Here is a 10,846-nt window from a genome sequence, read left to right on the forward strand (position 1 = left end):
GTTAGCTCAGAATGGTTCCAGAAAACAGCTACAATGAAATGAAGATTGAATATTGCCTGATTCTTTTAATAGAAGTTTCTTGCAATAGAAGTAAATACTGCCGCCTGAGTCTTTCAATAGAAGTTTCAGTAGAAGTAAATACGGCCTGATACTTTCAATAGAAGTTCCCCGACCCCCAGCCTATCTTGTTTGCACTAAACATATGAAGTTTAAAATCTAATTTTCTCTCCTGTCTTTGAGTTCATGGAATATTTTTCTGAAACATGCATGTCTGGATGGGCTAAAGAGAGAGAGAGAAAGTGCAGAGAGGTGGCAAAAAGCTTGGGCTGTGGGCTAGGTTTGAATCTTGACTGGATCTCCTGGTGTCTTTCTGATGTTGGAGGATAACTTTTCAGTGCCCGCTTTCCTCATTTGTAAAATGATAATAATAATAATGACTGCCTTATGGTGGCATTGCGAGTATGTGAGATAAGACATGAAACATGGAAGTTTCACCTTTGGCAAGGCAGGCTAAGTAATGTTGGTCAAAATATACTTTAAGGCAAAACCTGTTACTTGAGATAAGATTGACTTTTTTTTTTTTTTTCTTCAGAGACAGGGTCCCATTATATTGGCCAGGCTGGTCTTGAACTCCTGTGCTCAAGTGATCCTCCCACCCTGGCCTCCAAAAGTGCTGGGATTACAGGTGGGAGCCACCATGCCTGGCCAAGATGGACTTTTTTTTTTTTTTTTTTTTAAGATAGAGTCTCATTCTGTCTCCTATGCTGGAGTGCAGTGGTGCGATCTGGGCTCACTACAACCTGCACCTCCCAGGTTCAAGCAGTTCTCATGCCTCAGCCTCCCGAGTATCTGGGATTACAGGCATGCACCGCCATGCCCAGCTAATTTTTGTATTTATAGTAGAGACAGGGTTTCACCATGTTGGCCAGGCTGGTCTCAAATGCCTGACTTCAAGTGATTTGCCTGCCTTGGCCTCCCAGAGTGCTGGGATTACAAGAATGAGCTACTGCGCCCAGACAAGATGGACATTTCTTAATAATAAAACGTTAAGCCCACCAGAAACATAAAATCATATAACAACTCAAAATTTTTAACACTGAATAATATAGTCTCAAGATTGACAGACTACAAAGGGCGAGGAACAGTAGTAGATTTTTAACTGATTTCTCTCAAACTGATAAAATTAGTAGGAGTATTAAAGATTTGAACAATGGAATTAACAAATTTAACCTATATCACAGAAATAGAGCATTCCAACCAGTAACTTTGGAATACAGATTTTTTCTTTTTTTTTTTTTTTTGAGACAGGGTCTCACCCTGTCACCCAGCCTGGAGTGCAGTGGTGCAATCTTGGCTCACTGCAGCCGCTGCCTTTTGAGTTCAAGTGATTCTCCCACCTCACCATCCCCAGTAGCTGGGAATACCGGTGCGCGCCACCACACCGGCTAATTTTTTTATTTTCTGAGAGAAACGGGGTTTCACCATGTTGGCCAGGCTGGTCTCGAACTCCTGACCTCAGCTGCTTTGCCCGCCTTGGCCTCCCAAAGTGCTGGGATTACAGACATGAGCCACCGTGTCTGGTCTGAATACAGGTTCTTTTCAAGAGCACAGAACTTGTTCACAGAAAAATTACCAAATGGCCATTTGCTGAACATTATAGACATTTCAAAACAGGGTCGAAATTGTATAGAGCATGATATCTGAACACAATAGAATTAAACTAGAAACCAATACCAAGAGATAATTAGAATATTCTGGAATTTAAGCAACACACTTCTTATTTACTTGTGGGTCAAAAAGAAGTTACAGTGAAAATAGAAAATATACTGATGAGGCCGGGTGCGGTGGCTCACGCCTGTAATCCCAGCACTTTGGGAGGCCGAGGCGGGCGGATCACGAGGTCAGGAGATCGAGACCATCCTGGCTAACACGGTGAAACCCTGTCTCTACTAAAAATACAAAAAAATTAGCCGGGCGCAGTGGCGGGCACCTGTAGTCCCAGCTACTCGGGAGGCTGAGGCAGGAGAATGGTGTGAACCCGGGAGGCAGAGCTTGCAGTGAGCCGAGATAGTGCCACTGTACTCCGGCCTCAGCAAAAGAGCGAGACTCCGTCTCAAAAAAAAAAAAAAAAAAAAAAGAAAGAAAATATATTGATGAATGATGATAGATAAGAAAACAAAATATGTGGGTTGGATGTCAGCAGAAATAGCAGAGCACAGACCTTAAAAATCTTGTTTCTCTGTGAAAACAATGAGAATACTGGCAAAAATGATCACAAGCGACTGTTTTTTACCTGTGGAAATTAACCAAAGGCATGCAACAATGTGAGGAGCATATATTCACGAAAAAATGGTTGCATCTCAGTAAGAAAAAAGAGCTTTGTGATGTTAACTTGTTCTATTCCATTCTCACTTTCCCTAGCCTTGAAAACCAGTAGCTCGGCTGGGAGCAGTGGCTCACGCCTGTAATCCCAGCACTTTGGGAGGCTGAGGCGGGCGGATCATTTGAGGTCAGGAGTTCAAGACCAGCTTGACCTACATAGTGAAACCCTGTCTCAACTGAAATACAAAAATTAGCCGGGTGTGGTGGCGGGCACCTGTAATCCCAGCTACTCGAGAGGCTGAGGCAAGAGAATCGCTTGAACCCAGGAGGCGGAGGTTGCAGTGAACTGAAATCGCACCATTGCACCCCTGCCTGGGGGATAGAGCAAGACTCCCTTTCAAAAGAAAATAAAAAAGAAAACCAGTAGCTCACAACCACAGTGAAAACCAGCAGCCCAGCCGCTGTGGGAGGGGGCAAAACAGAGTGGGAACTCCTTCAAAGTCTCATTCCTGGGAAATTGTCATTATATATGACTTGTATGGCAAACCTGGAAACTTTCTCTCACAGGGGTTGTCTTTATTTGAAGTGACTCAAGTTTGTCTGGTGCAAAAAGCCTTTGGATGTTTCTCCTAAACAATTATAGACGATTGTTTAGCTTCACAAAGCCGCCTCATGTGGCATTAACAGCTAGGGCAGACAAGAAGCTCACCAATAAATGGAAAAGGAAAAGCTGGGCCATGAGATGTCATAGGGGACTTTGAAAAGCTCCATCGTATTCCTGGGAATCTCCAACCCCACTCACACGATCAGGGCTGTGGGCATGCCAGAGAAGACTTGAGAAGGCCCTGTGCTTTTGGTTCTTACTGAGTAAGCAGGCAGCGAAAACCAAGGCAGAGTTGCAAACTGCCTGCCTGGGTGATGAAGGCATCCCCTAACAAAAACACAGAGCCCCTCGACAAAGGCTGGGAGGCTTACCAGTTGGAAGCATTTAAGGATATCTCTGTCCATTAATGAGCTGACCACTAAGCTAACCAAACAGAGACTTCAGTGGCCAAACACAACAATGAATATCGAATTTACCAAATTATTTCAGCAAAAATAAGCACAACAAACAGCAAAAAAGAAAACCAAGAAACGAACAAAACAATATTCCCAAAACCAAAGTAACCAACCAAACCAAACAAACCTGGGTTGAGAGGTATCTGATTTCCAGAGTTGCCACTAATGATATTTAAAATAATAGCCAGGCGTGGTGGCTCATGTCTGTCATTGCTTGAACTTCGGGAGGCTGGGACGGGAGGATTGTTTGAGGCCAGGAGTTTGAGACTGGCCTGGGCAACATAGTGAGACCCTGTCTCTACAAAAAATTAAAACATTAGCCAAGTGTTTTGGTGCATGCCTGTAGTCCCAGCTACTGAGGATGCTGAGTTGGGAGGGTTGCTTGAGCTCAGGAGTTCAAGATTGCAGTGAGCCATGATCATGCCACTGCACTCCAGCCTGGGGGACAGAGTGAGACCTTGTCGCAAAAAATAAATAAAAAGAAAATGTCTAGTGTTTAAAGAAACCGACAAGATATACAAAGAAACAAGAATGTGGCCTATACACATGAAAGGAAACAGAATAGAATCCATCTACAAGGAAGCCTAGATGTTGGACTTACTAGACAAAGATTTGACATTGGCTATTTTAAATGTGTTCAAAGAACTACAGGAAAGCATTTTCTTATCCTTTTTTTTTTTCCGAGACGGAATCTTGCTCTGTCACCCAGGCTAGAGTGCAGTGGCACAATCTCAGCTCACTGCAACCTCCGCCTCCCGGGTTCAAGCAATTCTCCTGCCTCAGCCTCCTGAGCAGCAAGGGATTAAGGCATGTGGCACTCCTGGCTAATTTTTGTATTTTTAGAAGAGACAGGGTTTCACCTTGTTGGCCAGGATGGTCTTGAACTCCTGACCTCAAGTGATCTGCCCCTCTCGCCCTCCCAAAGTGGTGGGATTACAGGCGTGAGCCAACACACCTGGCCAGAAAAGCATTTTCAAAGAAACAAAAGTATGAAAATGATGACTCATCAAATAGACTATCACTAAAGTCTCTCAGAGACCCATGGGGCACCTTCAGGCATGCCAACATATTTATAAAGGGAATTCCAGAAGGACAGGAGAGAGAGAAATGAGAAGAAAGAATATTTGAACAAATAATGATCAAGAACTTCACAAACTAGAATTTGGGAAATTCACAAATATGTGGAAATTAAACAACACACTTGTTAAATAACCAGAATATCAAAGAGAAATCACAAAGTACATTCTTTCTCTGTAGTTGTTAGAAAATCAAAGAAAGATCCCGGCGTGGTGGCTCACACCCATAATCCCAGCACTTTGGGAGGCTGAGCCAGGTGGGTCACCTGCAGTCAGTTCAAGAACAGCCTGGCCAACGTGGCGAAACGCTGTCTTTACTAAAAATTCAAAAAAATTGGCTGGGCATGGTGGTGGGTGCCTATAATCCCAGCTACTCCGGAGGCTGAGGCAGGAGAATCGCTTGAACCTGGGAGGCAGAGGTTGCAGTGGGCCAAGATTGTGCCATTGCACTCCAGCCTGGGTGACAGAGCGAGACTCTGTCTGACAAAAAAAAAAAAAAAAAAAAAAAGAAAGTGCAAAAGCTCTTTATGTATTGATATGGAATGATTTCTACAAGTTCACAATCTTTTACCCCTTGTGCCCAAAAGTGTTTCAGAATTTTAGAAAGACAATACAGTTTATCCACTGTATTTTATGGTATATCTCCAGCACCCTAGAGCCACACACATGTAATTAGTTCTACAATAAAGTATGCTTAGTCACAGAAATGGAAAAATTAGGCCAGGCACAGTGGCTCATGCCTGTAATCCCAGTACTTTCGGAGGCCGAGGCAGGCAGATCACCTGAGGCCAGGAATTTAAGACCAGCCTGGCCAACATGGCAAAACCCCATCTCCACTAAAAATACAAAAATTAGGCAGGTGTGGTGGTGCGTGCCTGTAGAACCAGCTACTTGGGAGGCTGAGGTAGGAGAGTTGCTTGAACCCGGGAGGTGGAGGTTGTGGTGAGCCAAGATCATGCCCCTGCACTCCAGCCTGGGTGACAGAGCAAGACTCTTGTCTTTAAAAAAAAAAAAAAGAAAACAAAAGAAAAATTAAGAATACAAACAGCTTTGTAAGTCAGATTCTACTTCGAGGTAAGTATGTCTCCCAACTTAGAAAAGCAACCTTTTTGTTATTAGAGCTTTTTGGATTTTTAAATTGTGGTTAAGAGGTTGTTGGATTGGTGATAAGTGGGAGGCACAGGGGAGCCAGATGCAGAACGGTGCGCTGTGCTGGCTTTTTAATCCATCCATCACACTGGAGCCACGTGACTTTCATCAGCACTGATCTGACTGTGTCACTGGCTACATAAAACTTCAGTAAGCCAAACCTAACCCTGGCAGGACATGAGACCTGGCTGCAGGCATCCCCGAATTCCATTTGCCATGTTAGAACCATGGGGGATAGTTTGTGATTCCTTTATCCTGCTGCATCTCACAGCTGCAGGCCTTTGCATTTCTTCTTTGGACATCCGTGGAAATGATCTCATTCTCTTCCTGATGAACTCTGTGTCCTTCAGAGATCAGCTTTGACTTTGACCTTGTTACGTCTTTTGTATGATTTTGCCAAGCAAAATCAACTCACTCCTCCATTTATACCCATTACATTTTCCCCACCTTAGTCATGGCGCTGCGTGGTGGGACTCTCATCCATCTTCTGTTCCCTCCAGAATGTAAATATTAAGGGCTGAGCCTCTTGGCCTCAGTGTGCAGTTCATAGTAATCCCTGAATAAATGTTGAATGAAGTGCATAAGCCCCTGAAAAGAATTAAGTTCAGAATTTCTTCCTGAGGACTTGTTGTTTTGGCTTCTCTTAGGACTTTGCAGTCAGAATCTGCATTTCACAGATCATCCGTATTCTCTTGGATTTTTCATTTATGGAATACCGTTTGTTACATGTAACCGCTGTGACTTGAACACTGAGCCACACTGTGGATTTTGCCATCATGGTGCAGAGTTAGGAGAAAGGCTCTGGAGTCATCTCTGGACTTGAATCTCCTTGACGCTTACTGTTTTTCTTTTCTTTCTTTCTTTCTTTTTCTTTTTCTTTCTTTTTTTTTTTGATGTGGAGTCTTGCTCTGTTGCCCAGGCTGGAGTACAGTGGCGCAATCTTGGCTCATGCAGCCTCCGCCTCCTGGGTTTAAGTGATTTTTGTGCCTCAGCCTCCTGAGTAGCTGGGATTACAGGCGTGCGCCACCATGCCTGGCTAATTTTTGTATTTTTTAGTAGAGATGGGGTTTCACCATGTTGGCCAGGCTGGTCTCAAACTCCTGTCCTCAGGTGATCCTCCTGTCTCAGCCTCCCAAAGTGTTGGGATTACAGGCATGAGCCACTGTGCCCGGCATGATGCTTATTCTTTATAGATCCTTGCACACGTTACTTAACCTTTTGAACCTCAGCTTCATCGTCTCTAAAATGGGCATAAGTAGCAACTGCGTGGTCGTTTTATTGTGAGGATTCAGTGAACTGATCAAGAAGGGTAAAGCACACAGCAGAGTGTGCCAGCTCGCTGAGTGGTAAATAATTCTCTCCTTCTCTTTCACCCTCCTCCCCTCTTCCTCCTGAGCTATTTGGCTTGATCTGACAGCCTCAGATTGTCTTAGAGATTTAGGTTTTAATATCATTGCTTGTTTGGGTCACTCTGCTTATTTTTTTTATCCCAAGGAGGAGCTTCAAAGTCACTGTTTACTTGAATTTCTTACAAACATAAATCTCTCTCCTTTTTTTTCCTGCAGATATGTCAGGCCTCATTCTACCTTCTGAGCCTTGGAAGGTAGAAAGAGGCCTGATAATCTCTACAGAAAGGCAACATGGGAGAGGGATTTTTATGTTCATCAGCACATTTTTATATATGATAATTCTTCACTCAGAGATTTAAAATTAAGATGAAGGGTCCTTACAGTACTCAGATCAAGAATCCTGGGGCATTTGTACAGAGGATTGGGCTTAAGGTTGTCTATCTTAAATATTGTCTGTTTTTGGGAGAGCAGAGGATATCCTTTTTAATTACTCCCAGCAGTGCTGTTGAGATTCTCAGATACAGGAATTATTATGATGATTTTGATGATGTAAGACTCTTTTGCTTTTTGGGAACATTTGTTATCTCTGTATAGAATAGAGACAGATAACTGACTCTACTGGGAGCCTCATTATCTCTTCTGGGTGAATAGAGACCAGTGTGAGGCAGAAATAAGATCCCTAAAGCTCAGAAAATATCTCCAAAAGTCTCTTTGCTAATTTTGAGCCCCTTAGAAATGAGCTCTGTAATTCCTGGGGACCTTTTCCTCTTCTCCATTCTTCCTCTGCTCCTTGACAAGAGATCTGTAGACTTCCTTGAGTGCAGCATCTCAGACATCTGGTATTGACTAGAATTCCTTATTGGACTTCCTTGAGTGTAGCATCTCAGACATCTAGTATTGGCTAGAATTCCTTATTGGTAGTGTCAGTGTCCAGGGCTTCCTATTTTGTAAATGATAGAGGTTTGTAAAAGGAGTATGGCCTTTGGAATGTGCTGTTCATAATCTTAAGTAGTTATGGAAGCATACTGAAAAGGTCAGGGCAGTTCTCATTTTGCATCAGGAAGCTTTTGACAAAGTCCTGTTAGTTATCAGATGATGATAGCCAGCAGTAACCATTAAGACAGTCCTTTTTTTTTTTTTTTTTTTAAATAGAAGTCCAGTTAAGGAAGCATAGCTTGTCTTTTATTAAAGAGGCACTCAGCAAAGGGGTGATGAGACAGAATGCTGTTATTACTGATGCTTTTGTTTTACATTTTCAGTAATTAACGTGCTTTGCTCAGTAGTGGCACATTACCTGAACTTTGAAGGATCCCCTTAGTATATCGGTATTGCAGAGGCATTAAAGCAATGAGAGCCTGCCAGGATCTTAATCACCTCTGTCCTACATTTGGTCAGAGCCTCTCCACTTTCAACAGAAGTGAACAGAAGTCTAGACACTTGTGATTTTTCTATATATCACTAAGCCACATCATTGCAAGCATCTGTTTGGCCTATATTCCCTTAAAAATTCTGTCTGCTGAAATCAACAATATCTCCTAAAAAGTAGCTTTAATATCTGCCTGTGTGGCTGGATAAAAAGAAAAACAGGATTCTTGCTCTTCAAGATCTTACACTCAAAGATTGATAAGGCTGCTACTGATACATATATAAAGCACATAAACCATTATAAAGTGGTGAATTGTATGGCATGTGAGTGATATTTTCATTTTTTAAAAATGCATGGACTTTGAAACAAAAAATGCACAAAACTTCTAGGTGGAAATGTGGAATAAATTGTGGAATCCTTATAGAAAAAGAATATTGGGAGAATTTGATCAGAAGATGATTAAGGGGGAATTTGTTTTTTCTAGTTCTAAATTTACTGAAGAGATTGAATTATGAGACCTATTTGAAGAGAGAAGGGGAGAGGCTTTAGAAAAAGTACAGTCTAAGCCAGGCACAGTGGCTCACGCCTGTAATCCCAGCACTTTGGGAGGCCAAGGTGTGTGGATCACCTGAGGTCAGGAGTTCAAGACCAGCCTGGCCAACATAGTGAAACCCCTTCTCTACTAAAAATACAAAAATTAGCCGGATGTGGCACGGTACACTTGTAATCCCAGCTACTTAGGAGACTGAGGCAGGAGAATCACTTGAACCCGGAGGCAGAGGTTGCAGTGAGCTGAGATTGCACCACTGTACTCTAGCCTGGGTGGCAGAGGGAGAATCCATCTCAAAAAAAAAAAAAGAAAAGAAAAGAAAAGAAAAAAAGTATAGTCTAGGTTTAATGTAGAACTTGCAAGAAATCTAGTAGGGTCGGGTGCAGTGGCTCACGCCTCTAATTCTAACAGTTTGGGAGGCTGAGGTGGGTGGATCGCTTGAGCCCAGGAGTTCCAGACCAGCCTAGGTAATGTAGTGGGACCCCTGTCTCTACAAAAAAATTTTAAAAATTAGCCGGGTATGGTGGCACATGCATGTGGTCCCAGCTACTTGAGACACTGAGATAAGAGGGTCACTTGAGCCTGGGAGGTTGAGACTGCAGTGAGCTGTGATTGTGCCACTGCACTCCAGCCTGGATGAGAATGAGATCCTGTCTGGGGATTGGGCCGGGGGAAAAGACCTACTAGAAGAAGGACCTACTAGAAATCTAGTAGGTAGGAATGAAATTATGAAATGAGGCAGTGAATTTGAGAGAAGCGGAGAATGAGTGGTATTCATGGAAACTGATTGTAAAGGCAAGGAAAATAAGAATGCATTTTTTTCTTCTGGGCTGTGGTCCTGTGTAAGTATGAGGTTTCTACTGTTTTAGGTCTGCACTACTTAAAGTTCCCCAAATGGGTCATTGTTTGCCCACCCAAGGCTTGACATGAAACCCAGTCCCACTTATGGAAGCATAGGTGTGACTCTGCGTCCTTTGAGTAAGGCCTGAGCTTTTGGGATTGTTTCTTGTTCCTTAGAAGACTTCCGTCAGTGATTGATGGAGGGAGGTGGCCCAGCAGCACAGACCCCATGTGGTTGGCAGAGTGTGTGGGTGGGGAAGTTAGATCAGAGAGCCCCTCTAATTGTGCTGGGCTGATGCTGTCAGACTTGAAGTTAGATCACATTTTGTTTATTTTCCATTCAAACTTAGTATTTGAAGAAGGACCAATTTTAAGTAATTCAATATTTTCAATGTATTAGGGATGGTTTCCAGTCATTTAAAAAATAACCAGAGGCCGTCCCATTTTGTCACATGATTAAAATCATTAGTTCAGTCTTTTGGGGGAAGTGGAAGTCTCTAGACCCAGTGAAGTGTTTAATCCCCATGTCTATTACAGATTGCAGGTTTTATATCATGGAAAGCCTGATAGAGGAATAATTTTTCTTTCTTCTTTTAAAAAAAATATTACTAAGGAACCTCGAGCCGGTTACTCAGCTGTATGTCAGTGTGGATGCCAGTACCAAAGACAGCCTGAAGAAAATCGACCGCCCACTCTTCAAGGATTTCTGGCAGAGATTCCTTGACAGTTTAAAAGCCTTGGCAGTCAAGGTAAGAATTATGACATCTTAAAAATAAATAAACAACCCTCAGGTGTGTACTGAAGTTAAGAAGAAAGAAAGATGGAAGAAAAGAACAGAGGTACTTTTTCCTCTTTTCTCTTTAAAATAAAAAAAGATGAAATATAACTTTCAACTTTTTAGAGACTTCCTTCTTCAAGGAATTTTGAACATTTACTATTTGTTAAATAATTATTGAGTTCCTCTTAAGTTTGTAGCACAATGCTTTGTATGTATCATTTGCCTTTTATTCATTTAAGGAGAGAGGTATATATACTCCCAAAGTTAATAACAGTTGGTCCTAGAACCAATTCCCCATAGATACCCAACCCGGAATCTATGGAAGATTGGTCGTAGGACTCCCCATGGGTACCAAAA

General features: G+C 42.5%; 1 protein-coding gene, 1 long non-coding RNA gene and 1 other non-coding gene across 7 annotated transcripts in view; 1 reads left to right on the forward strand and 2 right to left on the reverse strand.

Annotated features, from left to right (window-relative positions):
• The window catches only part of TYW1 (tRNA-yW synthesizing protein 1 homolog), a 242,682-nt gene that overhangs the window by 110,326 nt on the left and 121,510 nt on the right, over positions 1 to 10,846 (forward strand). For all 5 annotated transcript variants that reach the window (NR_134540.2, NM_018264.4, XM_017012392.3 and 2 more), the window contains one exon: positions 10,325 to 10,460. Coding sequence is in view for 4 of the 5 variants with exons in the window: in NM_018264.4 (NP_060734.2) it covers positions 10,325 to 10,460 (136 nt within the window). In the remaining variant the exon portion in view is untranslated. The remainder of the gene's footprint in view (positions 1 to 10,324; positions 10,461 to 10,846) is intronic.
• The window catches only part of LOC124901664 (uncharacterized), a 30,839-nt gene that overhangs the window by 3,415 nt on the left and 16,578 nt on the right, over positions 1 to 10,846 (reverse strand). The gene's annotated exons all lie outside the window — the stretch shown is intronic.
• MIR4650-1 (microRNA 4650-1) lies at positions 7,164 to 7,239 on the reverse strand. Its single transcript, NR_039793.1, has one exon. It is a non-coding gene; the product is annotated as a microRNA 4650-1 (primary transcript).

This window comes from Homo sapiens, chromosome 7 (genome assembly GCF_000001405.40).
Source record: "Homo sapiens chromosome 7, GRCh38.p14 Primary Assembly".
NCBI lineage: Eukaryota > Metazoa > Chordata > Mammalia > Primates > Hominidae > Homo > Homo sapiens.